Source organism: Homo sapiens, chromosome 7 (assembly GCF_000001405.40).
Source record: "Homo sapiens chromosome 7, GRCh38.p14 Primary Assembly".
Taxonomy (NCBI): domain Eukaryota; kingdom Metazoa; phylum Chordata; class Mammalia; order Primates; family Hominidae; genus Homo; species Homo sapiens.
Genome location: NC_000007.14, coordinates 127,235,573 through 127,256,314, shown reverse-complemented (window position 1 = coordinate 127,256,314; position 20,742 = coordinate 127,235,573). Strand labels below are relative to the sequence as shown.

General features: G+C 44.6%; 1 protein-coding gene across 12 annotated transcripts in view, besides 2 other annotated features; it reads left to right on the top strand.

Moving 5' to 3' along the window:
- Positions 2,107-2,166: a silencer, noted in NCBI's record as "silent region_18590". NCBI's record gives its function as "represses an Ori minimal core promoter by ATAC-STARR-seq in GM12878 lymphoblastoid cells {active_cell/tissue: GM12878}" and the evidence as "EXISTENCE:reporter gene assay evidence [ECO:0000049][PMID:35858748]".
- Positions 2,287-2,536: an enhancer, noted in NCBI's record as "active region_26582". NCBI's record gives its function as "activates an Ori minimal core promoter by ATAC-STARR-seq in GM12878 lymphoblastoid cells {active_cell/tissue: GM12878}" and the evidence as "EXISTENCE:reporter gene assay evidence [ECO:0000049][PMID:35858748]".
- Positions 3,374-20,742, top strand: part of GRM8 (glutamate metabotropic receptor 8) — an 814,344-nt gene continuing 796,975 nt past the window's right edge. For 4 of the 12 annotated variants that reach the window (NR_163849.1, XR_007060010.1, NM_000845.3 and 1 more), the window contains exons 1-2: positions 3,374-3,518; positions 12,800-13,620. Coding sequence is in view for 7 of the 12 variants with exons in the window: in NM_000845.3 (NP_000836.2) it covers positions 13,111-13,620 (510 nt within the window). In the remaining 5 variants the exon portion in view is untranslated. Of the gene's footprint in view, positions 3,519-3,940; positions 4,187-7,991; positions 8,096-12,799; positions 13,621-20,742 lie in introns of those variants that run through there. The other 8 variants (NM_001371084.1, NM_001371086.1, NM_001371088.1 and 5 more) reach the window with 5 other exon arrangements.

Here is a 20,742-nt window from a genome sequence, read left to right as displayed (position 1 = left end):
TGGGTGAGTAGCCTGCAAAGGTTCTCAGCCTTAATGATTACTCCAAAGCAGGAATTGTGGCATAAATCTCCATGTGTGGAATATGTATCACAGCTTGAGTTAAATGGACCCCAAACATATGGCATTGTTTTTTGCATTTTCTAACACATGGGCAGTTTCTCACATTTTAAATCAACTGAAAATGAGAAGATTATAGGCAAATCTTCCTGGAGGATTAACTACTAGGAAATATACTTGGTTTGAATAAACATTTGGGGTGGGATGGAGGATGAGGTCAGACACTTTCCAAAGACACAGTGTGTATTGCAGAGGGTGGGATCCCAAGGGGAGGCAAGGTGGATGACTCTAGAATAAGCTGCATGTCTGGACGGCCTGGTCTTCAGACACTCTCCCCTGACTCAGATTGCAGCAATGAGCAAGCAGCATCATGGTGTTTGGCCCTGACGAATAGAGGTTGTACAGCCAATAACTTTTTCCTGTGAATGTTACTGATAAGGACCAGTCCCTCCTGGAGACAATCTTTCTTCCTGTGTCCCAGTGTTGCTATCAGTCTGGGCGAATTATAACCTGTACATGGGCAAATTATAACCTGTACAGAAGGCTGTGTCACTTGCTCAGGGGCTACTAGATAAAGCCATTGGAAACACTGAAGAATATATAGAAGGGCTCTATTTCTTATTGACCAGATTCCATGTAGGATTTGAGTGATGGTTCTATTTTGAGTATCAAGAGTTAAAGATGATGCAAAACGAAGCATCGGACTTGCACTTTCCTTAGGAGAGATCAAGTCTAGTTTTCTCGCAGAAGGCTGCACCAAAAAGGGCAGCGATGTGCCTGTAAGACATCAGTTCTCTGCAGGTAATGATCAATAGGGAAAGGAGAAAGGCAGCTCATTAGGCATTTCTTCCCCAAGAGGCTCACTCGGCCTCCTTAGGCTTCCAAAGCCACAGCCAGCCTTATTGCCCTTATTATTAAAATGGGCCCACTAGAGCACCAGGCTGCTGCCCTCTTGGCTCATGCCAGGCAACGACCCAACTGGCCCTGCAGCTGGCCTCTAGCCTACCCTGAAGACGATGTGTGGTCAGCAGTTGTCGATGCCCAACGTATTTGCGGGCCTCCTCTGCCTTTCCCCTCCGTCGTGTCTCTTTTCCCCTCAAATTTATCAATGCACACGTAGTAAATGGTCTAAAACGGACTTATTCATACCTCTACGTTATCTGTGATATCATTGCTCAGACCGGGATCATGGGTCTGGAGTTTGGGGTGGAGTGGGCTTCCTGCTATAGAAATCAGGCCACTGCACTTACTTTACACTTCTGGGGGAGGAGGGATCTCTTCCAGTCCCTAAGAAAAGAAAATCTTTAAAGCGTCTTACACGCAGGCGTGCAACCAGGAAGTCCACCCAGCCCCATCTCCGCATAAATTAGGAGCTCTTCCCTCTTCCCACCTTCCTTGTCCCAAGTGGCACCGGACACTGATCACCCTCTTCAGAGCTGCACTAGACATTCACAGGGAATTGAGGTTCCCTATGCAGAAAGGTTTTCAGACAGAGGACCCAGCCCATTTTCTCTCTCCAAATCCTCCTCCCTCCCTCTTTTGTGGTTGCAGCTATAAAATAATGATTCAACAATCAAAGAGCCTCTCATGAGATGGGAGAAGGAAGGGAACGAAAGGGGAAGAGGTGCCCTGGGCTGAAAACCTGTAGATTTTTTCTAAGTGACAAAGGGCAAGGGTCCTTTTTTGAAATTAGGAGAGAGACAGCTGTTTCCTCAATCGAAACTTCGCACATTACAACCAGCCTTGGGAAAAGCCAACACCACCAGGGAGGAAGTGCTATGGGGTTTTGAAGCCAGACACTGATTTCTGGCTGTAATACTTTCCAGCCGTGTCTCTAAGCCTCGGCTTCTGCCTCCATCTGTAGAGTGGGCTTAATAATTTTGACCATCTCACAGAGTTGATGTGAAAATTAAAATAACCCGAACAGAACAGGCGATATATACAGGAATTAATGAAAGATTCCTGACATAATGCTTATAAGTTCATGATGCTTAGGAAGATAAAATTCATTGTAGAGATGCCGAACGGGGGTCTAGAGCTTGCCTTTTCGGGGTCTCTCCCGTCCTTCTCCATCCTCCTTATCTCCTGGGCTGCCCCCTCTCCCCCCGCGCCCCGCTCTCCCTGGCTCGCCCGGGCCTAGGGCGCCGCCTGCAGTTGCGCGCGGCCGCCTCTAGATGGAACTTTCTCACCAACGCAAGGCCCGGCCGGAGCAGCTACCCGGGAGCTGGGCGGCGAGGGGCTACTTTCTCTCATTCCGGCGGGTGCAGGATCGGGGGGCCTGGGCAGTAACTAGTGGGGAGGAGCGCTGGACTGTGCACGTCGAGCCCGGCAGGTTTCCGCATGCGGCATGCGAAGGGAATCCCGAGGTTTCCCTGCAGAACCCGAGCACGGCTCCCCCGGAGTTTCCTGCCCCGCGTCTGCGGCTCCTTGAATCATCTCAATAAAATGACCGTCCCGGTAGCCACCCATGCCCCTTCCTGCGCAGTGCCCGCAGCGGACCGCGCTGTGTGGTACCTCGAGCCCTGGGGACTCTGTTGCACGCGTCCCTCAGACCCTCGGGGGCGGGGAGTGGGGAGACAATCGCCAGAGCCGCGGGGCGGGACAAATGGCGGAACCGCCGCGCGGCGCCAGGCAAACTTTGCAAGGGAACCGCGCGGCTTGCCGGCTCTACTTTAAGCATTCCCGAAAAGAAAGCATGTGGCGGGACACTTGTCATCTACCATGTGTTATTCTCGGTGACGCTTTCTGGAGCTGTGTTCACCGGGGACCCGGGCTCGCGGGTGCTGCCCGCTGTGCTCGGGCGGGCGTCGCGCCTCCCCGCGCCGGTCCCGGGCTCGCCAGGCAGCCGGAGCCGCTGGGCTCCTCCACAACCATATTCCTTCTTCTACCGCTCCCGCTTCTTCCCACCCTCTCACTCTGTAGTTGGGTCCTCCCCTTTTTCTTGGGGGCGGGGAAGGGGGGATGATTTTTAAAAATCAGAACTATTGACATTTCTGGTCTCCTCGTCGCTTCAGGCTGAAGAGCGGAGGGGGATCCGCGGGCCGAGGGTCCCCCTCCCTGCCCGCGCCAGGGCCGCTGGGTGACACCGAAATCCAGAGGCTCCCGCCCCTCGGGGGTTCCTCCTCCCGCTTCCCGAGGTGACTGGTTGGCGCGAAGCGATTGGCGATCCCGGGCGCGATCCTGGCCGCGGCTCCCCGCGCCGCGCCGGGTGAATGGCCGCGGGCGGAGGATCGGGAGGCGCCGGGCGCAGACCAATCGCGGCCGCCGGTGGGAGTATTTGTTATTCACATGGAAGAGACTTGGCGCCTGCTAGGCCAGCTCAGCCCCCTCAGCCCAGAGATCAGCCACAAGTGCGGCCGCTGTGCTCGCCTCACGCGGCGGCGGCGGCGGCGGCGGCGGCGCTGACATGGAGCTGCGGGCCCCCGGCGGGCTTCCTCACCGCGCCCTCTGCGGGGAGCAGGGTAAGACTCGCCGCCCGGCAGCAGAAAGCGGCTCCGAGGAAAGCAAGTGCCGAACCACGGGACAAAAAGCCCCTGGCCCCCAAACTTCCCCAAAACGCCCTGCTTGTTGGAAAAGGAGAATCCCCCCGTTTTATTCCCCTTTCCGTTTTCTTCTCTAAAACCTTTCAGCGGACAGCCAGGTGCACCATTCCTTCTCATATCACTCTAGTGATTTGTTTTTCCTGAGCACAAGTAGATGGCCCTGCATGTCCGTAGTCTGTGAGAGAAATAGCGGGCGGAGGTGACGGGAATGGGGGGAGAAGGAGAGTGGGCACCAGGGGGCGAGGGGCTGGCCGGGCATTGGAGCTTGATTGGGTGTCTGTTGATTTTACGTTGCAAAGAACAAGGCAGCCACCCCTCTTGTCTGCCCATGATTACATTACAGTAAAGAGGTTCAGAAAAGAGGGAGACTTTACCCGGAACTCCCAAGGCTTGGAGATGTGATCCCCCAAAAGTTTAGTCGGCGAATGGGAGACTGAAGGGTGACGGGAAGGGGGCAGGCGCGCTCGGCGCTCTGACTGGGCGTGCGGCGGCAGGATTTTAAAGCGCTCTGCCTCGGATCGTCTGCCCTGGGTGACCTCCCGGACCTGCCCTGGTGGAATCCGGACTTGCCCCGCCGAGATGACGAGGTACCTTCGTTTCGCGAACCTAACAGGAGGGATTTCTGAAGTTAGCGGCTTCCGGGATGAGTCGGGGTAACCCCCGCCCTCTGAGCGTGGGCTGGATGGATGTCTAACCAGGATCTAGGGAGGATGGGGGTCGCGGGGGAAGCCGGGCGCTTCGGGGTCCTCGACACCCACATCCCCGCACGGCGCACGCTCTGCCTCGAGTTTGCGTTCTCCGAGTTAGCACGGCGAGCTTGGGATTTCCGTGCCCCTCTTTTGTGGCTTTCGAGAAACGCCGGAGTTCCGTGTCCTGCTGGGGGTTGGGGGGATGGAGAAAAGGTCTCGGGGATCTTGTTTAAAAAGCAAAGGCAAACGCACCCCAACAGCTCCTCGGTAGCTCCCGCGGCTGGCGCGGCCCCAGTTTCGGGCGGCCCCGCGCGGGGCGTGGGCGCGGGCGCTCGGGCGGCCAGGTGCGGCGGGGGCGGAGGCTGCATCCCCAGCGCGCCGGAATGCCCCGGGGCGCGGGAAAGGCAAAAGCAGCCTGGCGCTCTCCCCACGGCCCCAGTCTCTATCTACCCAGAACCCGGCTTCAACAGCCCAAGGAACTGAGAAGAAAAAGGAACCTGCGCTGGGAAACAGGGGCTCCTGGCGGGCTGAGTGGTCGCTGTTATGGTAGAGATAGAAACGGAGAGGTAGAGATGGACCGCTCAGCCATGCCAAGCGCGAAGCCCATCCGCCCAGCCAGAAAGCTCGGATATCCCTTGAGCTTCGTACAGTTGGTGAAAAAATAACAGAATCACCAAAAAAGAAAAAAAAATTCCCTTCGTCTGACACGCGCTCCCTTGGTGCAAATGAAATGCGGAGGGACACGCGAGTCACCCAGTTGCGCAAAACCGCACCCCCGCGGTTCCCTGGGGAATTACTTCCCCCGTGGCCCAAACTGTGAAGCCTGGTGTCAGAGAGTGTCTGCGCACCCAAGATAGCGGGGGTGAAAACAGACCCCCTCGCCGGTTGCAGAAACCCTTAAGTCCCCTAAGCAAGTCCCACCCCGGGAGGGAGTGCCTTATTTGCCATTTGGGGGATCCTTTCCCACAAACCTGAAGGTGCGGGAGTCTCTGGAACACCCAAGAATACACTAGAGTCTGGGCTACTACCGCGATTGAATACAAATCCTGCCAACTGACAGAACTGGAAAACAGGGTTGGTGGTGGAGATACAAGAAAAATCATGAACGGGAGAAAAGCATTCCTATGGTAGCTTGTATTTTGCTTGAAAGAAAAATAGAGAAAAAGAGCCACCAGCAGGTAGATCGTGGATAAACAGCTTATTGCACTTGCCTGTAATTTCCACTTTCCGTTATGAAATTGTTTGTCAATAATTGCAAATGGCTACAGAAACCACTTTAGTTTACCTTGGTCACTTGCTTGTGAATAATACCGTGAAAGATCTCTGTAGGAGGCAGAATCAGCTGTGTGCAATTCATTCTCTGGTTCTTGAAAACGTGTGGCTTGATAATTTTGAAAAGAAAAGCTTCCTCCGTCAGGGAAAATGAACCAAGGTTTTTTAAAATGCAATTTTTCCATTTTAGAGTCAACTACAGGTTGTACCATGTCTAAGATAGAGAATTCTTGCTTTTGAATAAGGGATGTGGGGAGAAATAGATGACGGGAGGCTTTGTAGGAGACAATTGACCCGGAATAAAGAAGAAGATACTGAGAACACAGCTGTATACTGTTCCTTAGGCTCAATTTGTTCTGTTTGGATTGTGCTAGCTAGTTCTGCCCTGTTATGCACCGTTCGAAAGTTATGGCTGCTTGAATAATTCTAAAAACATCTACATCCAAAAGGAATAGAGAAAAGGAAGAGCTGAGCTCCAGTGAGTGCAGGAGAAAGTTAGAGGTCTGGAGAGATGTGCTCTTTTCAAAGTTGGCTGAGCAGGTTGAAGCTGCTGCGGGGCTTGTTTAATTGGTATTTATGCAGCAAATAACCCGTCTGACATTCACATTGGCAATTGCGTGCCAATCTTTGTGTATGAATGTTCCATTGTCTTCAGGGCACGATGTACAGCACACTACACACATGTTTTTTTCCTTCCAAGTTTCCTTCCTACCACCTTTCTCAGGTAGTTAGAATGCCCATCATAAAGATGACCTTGCTTTAGTTGGGGGGAGTGGAGTTGCTCTGTCCCAGTGTCTTAAAAGAAGATGCTGCTTGAATTTCTCTCTTCCTGGACCCACAGCCAAGACCTGGCCACATCTCCATGTCTGTCAAGTTGGCTGGCTTGCGGAGGTTCAGGAAACTTGCTGTTTTCTTGATAGACTCTGACTGGGCATCCCCAGACTCACAAATGTGGTTCATTCAATAGGGACGGCCACTTCATGTTGTTCCCAGGAGAGGCTATGAGCTGAGAGTTGGCTGGCTTATTGTTTCCATTTCAAGAGAGGGTTTTCTTTCTGCTAGGAATTGGAATTTAGATTTGGGCTTTCTCTCTTTTTTCTTTGATTTTCATTTCTACTTGGTAATTTGACAAATTGCGACAAACTCACCCACTCACTGGGAGGGACGCTGAGCATAATATTGTCTCATCCCAGGACACCCTTTCTCAGTGGTGGGCAATGCTGTTGGAATGATTTGAGAGGTACTGTTGAGACGCTCCTGACTCCTAGCTCTCTGCTCTGGCTTGTTGCATTGCTAGCCTTAACCATTATTAATGGTGATATTTCTTTGGTAAATAAATTATGGCTCTCCTAGGAATCATTTTGAGAATGCAGATGTTCCATTTGGGGATGACAGTAATGCATCTTCAGGCTTTGATACCTGCTAATGAATCCACTCACTCCCTGGGGAGGGCCAAGGTAATGAAAGAACAAAGGCACTGAGGGAAGGAAGAGACCTAGTTCTGGGGAGGTCAGCGCAGGGCAGGGCAGGGCAGGAGGTGAACAGAAGTAGGAATATCTAGGAGAGCCCTCAGAGGAGTATAGATTGTTGGACACATGTGTTGCCAATTTCATACTTTTCCAGGCAGGGTTATGCCTAAAGCTAGAAAGCTGCTGGCTATTTATTGGCTGACTTTTCCAGTGGTCATGACCCAGCGGTAGAAGCATTATATTGTACCTACAACTTAGGAAGGTTTCCGGTTGTCTTGTTTTCACAACAGGAGATTATCTTGTCACCACTTTCTTCAGAATAGCGATTTAGATGCTCAGTGTCCATGACCTTTAGTTTTCCAGGTCAGGCATGGTAGTTCCATTGACTTCTTCTTGCGTCCTTTCCAGTTTTCCTTCAAGCTCTGTGCTCTCCATATAGGCTTGCCAGGGTTGACTTTTTTTGGACCTGTGACCGTTGTTAAGGTCTGACTAGACCCAAGCGTGATGAGAAAGTGGTTTTCTTAGATCTTCTAAGTACAATACACCAGTAACATATTTTAGTTCTAGGACAGATTGTTAGACTAATAGTATCCCTGTGCATTCTTATAGCACTTGGCAGTTTATAAAGTACTTTGACACACATTATATTGTTGGATTTCACAAACTGGGAGATGGGGGAAAATCATTCCCCATTTTAGAAACCAAGAAACTGAGATCTGGTTAAGTGACTTGCCCAGTGCTATACAGTGAGTACTGGGGGAAGTAAGACTAGAATCAGTGTCTCCTAGGACTCTAGAACATCTCACTCCCAGTCCTCATTATCAAATCAGGGTTAGTTTGAGATCCAGCATGGCCTCCTGCCCCCATGGGGCATGGAGTAAGGGAAGGAACATAATGGCAGTCCTGCATTTGAATTCTCGCCTGAGACTTTAGACACAGTCATATAATCTTTCTGTTTTCAGGTTCCTTAGATCCTGAATGGAGGCTGTGATACCATCCTCATAGTTGTATTTTAGAGGGAAATGAAATAATGTGTCTGCAGCTCCAGGCACACTGCAGGCAATCAGTAAGTGTTGATGTCACCCACTTTCTCTCTTCTTATCTGATACATATTATAAAAAGTAGCTTCTCATTACTTTAAATATGGTCTTTTTGTGCAATAGCTGTGTTATTGGAAAAATAAAGGCACAAATTGAATTCTCCTAAATCAGATTTTTTTTTAAATGCCTGGGATTTAGCTATTTAAAGGAAACCTGTGGTGAATTCTTCTGTAATGCAAATAATTACTTTCCAATTTATCTGTTTAGTAAGTCGAGCTTCTCCTGTATCAGATTTTTTAAAATATGAGGCTGGCTTGTGTAGAAGAGCTTTCACAATCCTCTCACTGATGAAAAAAAGTCACTCAACTTGCAAACAAAATCAGTTATTGTGTTCAGTTGGCAAAGCCTTGCTCTGATGTTTGAGCATAATCTCATATTCCCTTATTATTAAGTAATAGAATCTCAGAATAGGAAGCTGGAAGACACCTTAGAGATCACGTGGTCCATCTCACTCGTTTCACAGATGAGGAAATGGAAGCACATAGGGGTGAGGGGACATGTTCAGTGTTACCAGCCAGTGACTGTCAGACAAAGATCCGATTCCAAGCGTCTGTTGCCAAGGGAGAGCTCTGTCTGCCCCATCCTCACTCTGCCCCACCAAGAATCCATAGACATGCACACATATTGCAGCATGGGAGATGATACAGAAATACGATGCATTTTCAAAACAACCAAAAGAGCTGCAAGTGTGAGCAGTCATATGAATTGATGAGAATATTCAGCTTAACCTTTTTGTTAAAGAGCTGAATGGAATGCAGCATAGGAATGCTGCTTTGGCCTTTTTATGAGAAAAAAATTACAATTCTTGGATAATGGTATTCCTCAGTGAGGATTTTACCCTATCATATTTTAATCATACCTGCTAAATGCCCAAGGAAGATGTGATGGCAGACCCAGAGAGACCCTGCATGCGTTGGTGGGTGTGTTCCACCTGACATCACCTTGACATCAACCTGGCCAGGAGACCTCATTTGGAGCAGAAGTGTTTGGACAAACCGCATTGGATCTTCTCAGCCCTTTGAGAGATTCAGAAATCACCTCCCTGGAAATGCCCCCAGATTGTCCCTTCCTAATTAATATGTTAGTGTTCTTCCAGAGCTAAGCATTGAAGATGTGCACCTTTCTGAAAGATTGCAGTGGAGGGGCAGGGCCATTCCCTTTCCTTGTGCTGCCACAGTGAGTCCCTGCAGCACTGGGGTCTTTCTCCAAGGACAGGACCCACCTTCTGGGACAGATGACTTTGGTGGCACTGCCACTTATCAGCTCACGCTCTCAGGGGTTGGGGCCATATTCAATCCCTCTGAGCCTTCTTTTCTCATTTATACAAGAGCTAATGCCTGGTGTATGAAAATTTATGGAGATACTGTGTTAGATACTTGACACTGGTACAGAGAAGGTGTGTAGAAAATAAAGCAGAATTCTGGGCTCTGGCCAGTGAGGAGGTATCCTTCTGGCCTTTTAGGAAACAGAGCACATTTAGGGGGATACAGGCTCGGGGTCCAGCCAGGGTGCCTGCTTCCAGGAGTCTTAGGCCAGGGGACTGCCCATGGAGGGCCCAATGATGTATGATGTGCCCTGTAAGTAAGGGTGGGCTGGCGGGGGAGTGCACAGGAAGGGCTATGAGGGTTCATGGTTAAGCCTCCCCAAAGGGTTCCACGGCCTCTCCCTGTGGGCCCAGACATAGTGCTGAGAGGATTTGTCCCCCTCTGAGATTGGTTTCAGGAGTCCAGACCTCACGCCTCCTTGAAACAGTCCAGCACAGTCCCCGCTTCTGCCACATGTCAGAGGCAGGTCAGTTTGAGAGAGGAGCTGTTTATACTTTAAATCAAACACAAAACATACAATAGAGGTATTTGGATCTATAGCTCTGAAAGATTGTGATTTGTTTAAAACTCACAGACTCCACTAGGATGAGCTTGGATTAAAGCTCACAAGAATTGTACAAGAGCAAGATAAGTAATTTAAGATTATACAATGAAACCTAACTGATGTAGTTTCTCACAAACTTTCAAATATATTTTTCCTTAGGTTTTTTAAAAGGGGAAACTAAACCTTCTGGCAGTGGAGTCTGATTTTTATGACAATGTATCAGATTTTGAAATAAATGGAAGATTTAAATATTTTATAAGTAGCTCTGATTTTATTTTTTAAAGTGACAAACGAAATTCAGTAAAAGCTCACCAACTGGGCAAATACAGAAAGAGTTGCTCTGCTCCAGTAGAAAATGAATTACAGACTAAGTTAGCAACAATAACTCCTGTTTAATGAGCCAGATACTATGCTTTCCATGTGTGCTGTGTGGCAGGTTCTATCACCTTTACAGACAAGAAAAGCAAGCTTCAGAGAGGTTACATGCAATTAATTCTGTGTTCCAGAGACGGAAACTCCAGCAAAAATTCAAGTGAGCTGTCCAATAAATGAAACTGAAATGAAACCAAAACTGAACCTCTAGTTTTCCATTTCAGTGCATTCAGCCACTAAACAAAACTGATTCCTGCCTCACTGCTATTCATTCCCCAATCTTTTTTTAAAAATTAAAGCTCCAAACAAAGCTATGAGATGCCAAAGAGAGTAAACAATACTGCAATTACCAATAATTTTAAAAGCGACTCAATTTTATTACTTTCTGGACTGTACAGCAAGTGGAACTAGGTTAATGCCACATGGATAGGTAAGGATGCATTGTGATGAACAGATGGGCTGTTTGTATGTTCGTCTATAATTGAAAGCCATTTATTCTCTTAAGTGTTTTAAGTACTTGGGGGATGGCTTGGTGTAAAGAGGAAAGGTGGTCCCAAGACCCATCCACTCCCCCTAGACATTTCTCCTTCACCTTATTTATTCATTTAGTCTGTACTCTGTCAGAACAAGGGTCGGCTCAGCCACGTGGAATTGGTCTCAAATTCTCAACTAGTGATCAGAGTTAATGAGGTTTTACTATCATGTGACTGGTTTTCCTTGTGAAACTGTTAAACACAATCTTACTTCTCTTAATGGGTGGCCGGTGTAATTTATGGCCTATCACTTAAATGGTTTCATCCAGAAAATCAGGTTGACTTTCTGAGTGTTTCCTTTTGTGGAATGCCTGAGGTCAGGCTGTTATTGAATCACAGATTTTCTGAGGGAAAAGCAGCTGCTAGGAGAATCCAGTGTGAGGGACTAAACAGTGAAGTGGTGAGAAAAATCAGAAAGTATTTTGGGGGCAGCACAGAGGAAATCTAAGGCTTAATGTGTGCCCGGAGGCAGGGAATACTTGTCTTAGGCTGCACAGAACTATCTCAGCCGAGTGGGCCATTGGCTGGCTAGGCTGCCAGGTGTTTGCTCAGAAATATGGGGCAGTGGGCTGCTATGAGCCCTCTTTTCTAATCTGCAAGTGCAAAAAATGCAGCTTTCTTTGAAGGTGTTTGGGCATATTTTCAGTTATCCCCCAGGGAAGCACCATCTTTCCTTTCGGGGCAAGAAGGATAAAAAGAAAATTTTATGAACTGGAACTTGAACAAGTGAATGGAAAATACAAGCAGATGTTGGTTGGCTAGGGTACAGGAGAACTGTCCAAATTTCAGGTTTCAAACCCATATATAAATAGGTTAGAAATGAGCATTAGATTAACCATCCTGCCAAAGTAAATTGGTGCTGTTTATTCTCTTAATTAGCTGTGCATTACAAATCTCAGATTCCCTGTGTTAAGTCAGTTCTCATTTTCAGTCACATCTCTTCAAAAGTCGTTTGAAAAAAATCTTACGGAATTAAGGGTGAAGGCCGTAGGAAAAAGGCTTTGTCTGTAGATTTGCGTGTAGCCTTTTTCACTTCAAGTTATTTCTAGTCTTGATGAACTTTTCCCCACTGAGTCAGGCAAAATTAGGCAGCTCTTCAATTGATTGACAACTCTGATTTGCTCCTAGTGATTCTGGGATCAAGGCATGTTTCCCTCAGAACTGTTAATATACCCATTGCTCCCACACCGACAAATTAATTGGAAACCCTGACAATGGTAATAGGAATATCTTCACATGTCACCTTACCTGTGTGTTTCATTTTCAAGTCTTTGTTTTCTTACCAGAGAATAAGACAATTTATATGAAATAGCTGACTTTCTATGTTAATTTTTTTTCACAAGCTACAAAACTTACACATTTTTTAGCTCTTTGGGTGGATTTCTTTCTCTCTTTCACTTTGTAATTGAATAATCACTTTTTCCTACTGGGTAATTTGAGGCACTAAAAAAAAAGTCATTAACAGATGACTGGCTTGTTGAATACATCACAGAAAATAATATTTATTATGATTTTGTTGACAAAATTAGAATGCTAAATTCAGATAGCTGCAAAAAAAAAAAACAGATTTGAAAAGAAATGGTGCCATCAGTTGCAGGATTTTTACCTTCATGGAAATAAGGTTTATTGAAATAAGATGATAAATAAAAGTGCTTTCTGGTTTGGGAGAATCAACCTACTTCCTGATACTGTTCTGTTTCTCTTGCTCCAAAAATATGATCAATCTCCCTGTTTAGATGCAGTGCAGCCAGGTGTTCAGAATCACAGGGGGACAAAAAGAATTAGTTTCTTACTGAATAGGGGATTTTTTTTTTAAGAGGCTGGCGTAAACAGGGCTGCAAAATGTGAAACATGTAGACCCACTGAACTGAACCCCCTTTTTTCCCCTCTTCCCAGGAATAATTCTGCTACAAGGCTGATTTCAAGGACATGAATTGTTGACCTCATCCCAACATCAGAACCTCAGATGTTCTAATTTTTGCACCATTCCAGGCAAGTTGATCTTATAAGGAAATAAAATTGAACCTTAGGGGTCTGATGGAAATTCACTGTGACATTCAAATCAAGAAAACTTGCTAATGCCCACAGAGCCTTTTCCCCATGGGCCCTGATGGTAGCCTCCAGAAGGTGCAGCCTCAGGTGGTGCCCTTTCTTCTGTGGCAAGAATAAACTTTGGGTCTTGGATTGCAATACCACCTGTGGAGAAAATGGTATGCGAGGGAAAGCGATCAGCCTCTTGCCCTTGTTTCTTCCTCTTGACCGCCAAGTTCTACTGGATCCTCACAATGATGCAAAGAACTCACAGCCAGGAGTATGCCCATTCCATACGGGTGGATGGGGACATTATTTTGGGGGGTCTCTTCCCTGTCCACGCAAAGGGAGAGAGAGGGGTGCCTTGTGGGGAGCTGAAGAAGGAAAAGGGGATTCACAGACTGGAGGCCATGCTTTATGCAATTGACCAGATTAACAAGGACCCTGATCTCCTTTCCAACATCACTCTGGGTGTCCGCATCCTCGACACGTGCTCTAGGGACACCTATGCTTTGGAGCAGTCTCTAACATTCGTGCAGGCATTAATAGAGAAAGATGCTTCGGATGTGAAGTGTGCTAATGGAGATCCACCCATTTTCACCAAGCCCGACAAGATTTCTGGCGTCATAGGTGCTGCAGCAAGCTCCGTGTCCATCATGGTTGCTAACATTTTAAGACTTTTTAAGGTAGGTAAAGGCATTGTCTTTCTGACCATTGTGAAAGAACAATGAAATGCTATGACTCCTACTGCAGGTTTAAGAAGAAAGTGAAGATGGTGAAGGTGCTCATAGACCCTTTTGGTGTTACCAGGTTCCTCAAATGGGACATTCTATATGGGGCATTCTACATGTATTGGTTTAGTTCCATTACTTACAATTAACTGGATTAATTTTGACTCTTTTTTTTTTTTCCTGAACAAAGAGAAAGGTGAAAAGTTCTGTGATATATTGGGTCCTTGTCATCTTGGGATAACCTCTTTGTTAGGCTCATTTTAAATTAAACAAGCATTTTTGAAGAGAATAATGAACTCAGCGCATTTATCATGGAAAACATTTCTATGGTATTTGAGCTATTTAATTTACTGAGTGAAACTTCTTTAAGGTGGGATGCTCTGTTATGACAAAAGTTTGTTCATGAAGAAACAGTATTTATTACTAATGTGTAGATGGGAGTGACACTCTGGGAGATGAGATGGTCATAAAATTGTCAGGCTTATTATAACTACAATAGAGCAGAACCTTATTAATTCAGACTGCTCTGATACAGACTTGGAATAATTATATATAATTCTTATTGCATTAAAAGTTCAAATTTAGCAGGATAAATTAGACTTTTTGATTTAGGTTTGGTGATCTATTACCCATATGTTGCATTTACATATTGAATAAAATTGGAAATATGGAATAATATATGTAAAAATACTTTGAAAAGTATAAAGTGCAGTAAAAATAAAGTTATTGTTAACTCACCATTTTCATTAACTTTCTCATTTTATTTATTAATAACCAATATGTAGTCTTTTGTAATAGACATAATTTGTTTAATTGAAAATACTTTCACTCTGGTTTCTTACTCAGGGGGACATGAATTTTTCAACTTAATCTGAATTAATGAGCCTTTGTTTTATATTGTGAAAAATGGTTCCTGGCTGGGTGCAGTGGCTCACGCCTGTAATCCCAGCACTTTGGGAGGCCAAGGCGGGCGGATCATGAGGTCAGGAGATTGAGACCATCCTGGCTAACACGGTGAAACCCCGTCTCTACTAAAAAGATACAAAAAATTAGCCCGGCATAGTGGCACACGCTTGTAGTCCCAGCTACTTGGGAGGCTGAGGGAGGAGAATCGCTTGAACCTGGGAGGTGGAGGTTGCGATGAGCCGAGATCATGCCACTGCACTCCAGCCTGGGCAACAGAGCAAGACTCTGTCTCAAAAAAAAAAAAAAGAAAAAAAAAAGGTCCTATGCACATTAGATTTAGAAATATTAAAAGAATATGGAGAAGTTGGACAGATGACAGGTATTGTGACAAATGTGAACAAAGTGATGGGAAATGTCACACAAAAGATGAAAGGAATTGAATCAAAGGATTTCTGGCTTGGCAGATATCTCAGAGGCACATCTAGTCTGGCCCACTCATGGCACTGGAATCCTCTTTGTAACACCCCCTTGAGTGGCTGTGCAGCCTCTGTATGGATTTCCCTAGTTTAGAAGAGAAAATGGTATGAGGCAACTTAATGGCTATTTTCAGATAGATGAAATTTTCTCAAATAAGGAGGATGCTAAGCAGAAGCTCTCTGCGTCTAAGGAGTACTGAAGAGGCACAAACAGGCTTCAGGGTGTGCTGGAGACATTTGAGCAGGACATTAAGAAGCGCCTCTTGACAGTGAGAAGGACACAATTAAAACATGTAGCCAGAGTTGCTCTAGTTCTCCATTTCTGGAAACCTTCAAGGGAAACTAGGCAGTTGTTAACCATTTCTCTTAGTAAGAGGGACTCCTTGCTTAGAGGGAAGATGTGGAACCAGAATTCTCCAGGCTTCCTCCCACATCTTGGGATCTAGTATTCCTCCCAGCTACCCCGGTTCTGTGCCATATGGCATTTTCTGCTCTGGGTTGGTGTCCAGCTCAGACATTTCTGTAACTCTTCTCTCTGATTTGAACTCCCTCCTCACCTGCTCCAAGGCATCTCTTTTCTATTTTTAACTTAGCAACTGTGGTTCAAAAACATCACTTTTAGAGGAGAGGAAAAGTTTCCTAAGAATCTTCTCCTTTTGGTTTCCCTCTCCTTATAAACCAATTCGGGTTCCTGTCAATACCATTGTAATTCCTGTGAATCCTGGCTGTTTCCTGTAGCCTGGTGCCCAGCCAAAAGTGGGCAAAGATTTGAGGAGTGTGGTGGAGGAGATAAGGTATTCATATGAGGTTTTCCAAGCTTGTTTGCATTTTTTTTTTTTTTTTGCCATAGAATCAGCCAATCTGCAAAATGGGAATAATAAGATTGTGTTAGATTGTTGGGTATATTTAATGAGAAAATGCAGGAAGGCTTCCATCAGGACCTGGTCATGTCCTTTGGTTTTTTGGGCTATTGAAGGAAACTCCAGGCCACCTGAAGGCAAGAGGGTGTTTTGTTTTTATGCAGCGGGGATCTGGCTTCTCTCTTCTCTATTCTTCCCTCACTGACTGGTTAGTTCTCTTAATTTCTTGGGTAATTCTGGAGGGACCCCATCTGACTGGGTGAGAGGGTTACTACTGACTCTCTGGGCAGAGTCCAATGCCCCAGGCCATCTCTTGAGACACCCACCAACACATGAAAGGGCAGCTCTTGCTACCCTTAACTGAAGTGCAGGGAGTGGGTGGGTCACTTATCGCCAGGAGGGGGTGCTGTTATGGTAGATGTCATGACTAACATGATCGGTTCACTGGTCCAGAGTGCGCGTTTAACCTACAGAAGCAAATCTAGTTATTAACCAAGTTATTGGACTTGAAAATCGTCTGTAATTCAAAAGTCCGTCAGTGAGATGTCAGTGCCTAGTCCATCTTACAGGTGATTCTGGAACCATAAGAATGTGAATTAGATAATAGCAACTTATGCTACTTTAGTTTGATTTTTATGTGACTTTCAGGAAGCACTCCATTTGTAGTATTAATTATAAAGCAATTGGGATAGAAAATTGTCTACTCTATGTATGGATGACTTCTGTTTATACATATATGCTAGGATGGACATGAAATATTAGAATAGTTATCAGAGGAATGATTAGCAGTTAATGCATTGGAGATTGGCATATAGCTCCTTTTTGAAAAATAATACTTTTCTTAAATACTAATTTTCCAAAGGTTATGACTTGAGTAAAAGTAAGTTTTAGGACAGTTTTCTCAAGCTTAGGCCCTTTCAGGGTAGCAAAAGACCCACAGAATCTAAAAATATGCCCAGAAATTAATGTATTGCTAGTTATTCCCAGATAATGGAGTTAAAGAAGGTAGAGCATCTCCACTGAAGATATGCAATGAACCTTGATCATAAGGAATACAAACAGGGTCTTAATTCATGAACTTACTCACTGTCCTACTCAACAATAAACATAAATTGGGGTTTTAAGAATGTGATTGCGATGTGTTTAAAATTTTATGGAAAATATTTGGGCCAAATTTGGAAGTGATCCCTAAATGTCTCAGTTTCCTTTTTTTGGACAACTTTAGGAAGGCCATGTATTTTACCTGCAGTATCTTCCTGAACTAAAATGTGAAGGAGACAACATCTTCCATGCAGCCCCATTTACCACTTTCTTCAGTCTTGCTCCTCCTGTGTCAGCCTCTCCAGTCCTTGTATTCCTAAGTGTTCTCCTAATCAAAACCTGATGCAAGGGATCTAGGTGTTGTCAGCTATCTCTATGTTAGTATGTCTGTGTTTAAGTCAGAGGAGCATTTTATTTCCTTCAGGATCACTAATTGTGGAATTAAATGGGATTTGTCTTTGCAAAGGAGATGCTGGCATCAGTTGGGGAGGTTCATTTAGCCCCAACAGAGACTGCACTTAGTGGATAGCCACCTCCTCTGCTGGAATACAGGTGGCCCTGCTCATCTGACCTAGAGGGAAGTGGTGTCATCCTATCTTTGTTTCTTTTCTTATCCAAGCTCAGAAGCAAATGAAAAAAATGGGCCTCTTTAACTTTAGAAGAGGGTTGAATAAGGGCCTGGAGCTGGACACAACCTGGGAACAGAAGATGCCATGTGGCGTAGATCCATAGGATACTGAATGCTTTACTAGATTAGTGATACTCAACCTCGAGTGTACGGTGGGGTTCATACTGCTGTTGCCTCACCCACAAGGGGTGTGGGCTGCATTATTAAAACTACCTGGGAGGCTTTTCGAATGGCAGGATCCAGTGAATGATGTGTGCCTCCCAAGCCCCTCTCTGGGAACTATTTTTATTGAGATGAGTGTCTCATATCCCTCAGGTGTGTTGGGAGTGGAAACAAATTTGAGAGTTACAGAACAAGAATTTAATGATCTGAACTTTTTAGATGCACTAGTGTACCCTAACACACACACACACACACACACACACACACACATGCACACACACATCGTATATCAGCTAACATGGGGCAGAGCAGACCTAGGTGATTGCTTCACTCATATAACATGCTAATGGCTTTAGATAACAGAAGTATCAATTAGGATAATGTGACATGTAACGGTAGAATAGCAGACCCAGAACAGCTCCATCCTATACAGAGGTATAAACGACACCTCAGGGGCTTTTGTACTGCAGACAACCCAGTGAAAAGAGGGGTCCAGCTCCCCATAAGAGATTGTGTAGTTTTGAAAGAATTTAAAAAGGAGAGGGTCTTTGGAAATGTTTGAGAAGCCCATAAATTTGTGTTTTATAAAGAGCTCAAATTTTTTCTCCTTTCTAGAACATTTCCTCTGCTCTCCTTTAAATTAAAGCAAATTGATTACTCCAAACACTAATCATATGTCTTACTTTGAGCAAAGATTGAATATTCTAAGTTAAAAATAGCACATTGATGCTGGAGGTAACTCACATTAATGTCCACAAAGATGCACTGGGTTGTAAGAGGACACTGTCAAATATAATTCCTCTCTCTTTTGTTTTTCTAGTTAACTTTACCTGGATTGTTAATTTTCTACCCTTGAAGGATAGGGGTTAGATAGTCTGTAGTGTATCCTTCCCAAAGCAATCAAATGAGACTTTTAAATAGAAATCCATTTGTGGGTGGGCTAGATAATTTCACCCTATGTGGAAGTGTGCTGATTATAAATGGCTAAAATTGATCTTCATGTGAAGTCAATGAAATACTGAGAAGCAGCTTGTTTCCCTGGCAGTCTTCGCCTACCCTGCTATGTTTATGAAGATATATTTTCTTCCAAGAGACTCCACCAATTGTAGCAACCACTTCTATAAAGCCAAGCATTTTTTTGAGTTATTTATTGCATACAATGGGTTTTATTAGCTTCAAAACTTTGAAAAGGTAAATCTGCCATATCCGGGCTCATCTAGAGATGAACTCATAAATGAGTGCAGTCAGTAAACTCAGTAGGAGGTAAATTTCATGTTCAATCTCATTTGATGGCAATAGATAATGGAATATTGGGAGATGGACTTCTTCAGTCAACTCTTTGGTACTGTAGCAGGGTTTCATTTAACTTTGAAAAGAGCTCACTCTCCTTAGGTGAGAGAGGACTGGTAAGTAGCACTTAAACTCCCAGCTACAGAGATCTTTCAAAATGGAGACTTGGTAATCTCTTTCCCCTTCTTAAAACTCTTTAATGGCTAGGGTTTTACCCAGGATGAAGGTCCACTTCCACTTTGGGGATCCTTTTCTCACTTTCCTTGACTAGATTGTCTCTTTGTTACAAGTAACAAGCAGCTTGTGCTTCCTCTCCTTAATGTCTCTCTCACTGGGTTGTAGTTGTTTACCTACTTGTCTGCATCCCCCACTAGACTGTAAGCACCATGTGGGCAGGGGCATGTCTATCTAGTTTGTTGCTGTATTCCTAGCACCTAGCATGGGCCTGTCAGAGAAATAATGAATGAATGAATAAATCATATCTCTCTACTCTCTCCCTCATCCCAATCTCAATGTTGGAAATATGTGTTGAATAGATAGGAAAGAAGTATAATTTTGTTTATTTTTCTTGTATACTCCTTTAGAAAAAGGAGGGCAATATGTTTAGGCTTTGTGTCCCCACCCAAATCTCATCTTGAAATGTAATCCCTATAATCCCCAAAGGTCAAAGGAGAGACCAGGTGGAGGTAATTGAATCATGGGGGTGGTTTTCTCCATGCTGTTCTCGTGATAGTGAGTGAGTTCTCACGAGATCTGATGGTTTTATAAGGGGCTCTTCCCACTTTGTTTGGCACGCTCCTTCCTGCCACCTTGTGAAGAAGGTTTCTTGCTTCTCCTTTGCCTTCTGCCATAATTATGAGTTTCCTGAGGCCTCCCCAGCCATGCTGAACTGTGAGTCAATTAAACCTCTTTCGTTTATAAATTACCCAGTATCTGGCAGTTCCTTATAGCAGTGTGAAAGCAGACTAATAGGGAGAAGCGGAGAAAGAAGGAAACATGATTATATTTTGAGAGTTGCTATTTTCATGTGCTTTCTCTTTTTCCTACAAATTTCCATTTAAATGTATTTTTAACATTAAGAAATTGCGTGTATATTTCAAAATTGTTGAAAGAGTAGATCTTAAATGTTTTCACCATACACCAAAAAAAATGTGAGATGATGGATTTGTTAATTAGCCAATTTAATCACCCCATATTGTAAACATAAACCATCACATTATGCCCCATAAATACATATAAATTGTCAATCAAAAATAAAGTAAAATAAGCAAAATATATGAACACATTCTCATTTTGGAAGGTTTAAGCAATACATAGTATGAAAGGAAAGTCCACTTCCAAATGCATAAATCCGTTAATAACACATGCACACATGATTTTATTAACAGATATGTGATTTATGACTTTCTTTTTCACTTAATATGTTTGGGAAAATTTTCCATGTTGGTTAATACAGATGTACTGCAGTAATTCTTGATCCTGGCTGCATGTTAGCATTGCCAGCATAGCTTTTAAAAATTATGGATGCCCAAACCCTAGCCAGGACCAGTTAAATTGGTTGGTGTAGAGCCCTGCATTGGTATGTTTTAAAAGATCACCAGGTGATTCTGATGTTTGGTCAAGAATGAGAACTGCAGGACTTTATTTTTTTAATAATTGCTTGGTTTTTAATCATATGGATGGACCATACTTTATTTTACAAATCTCTGATAAA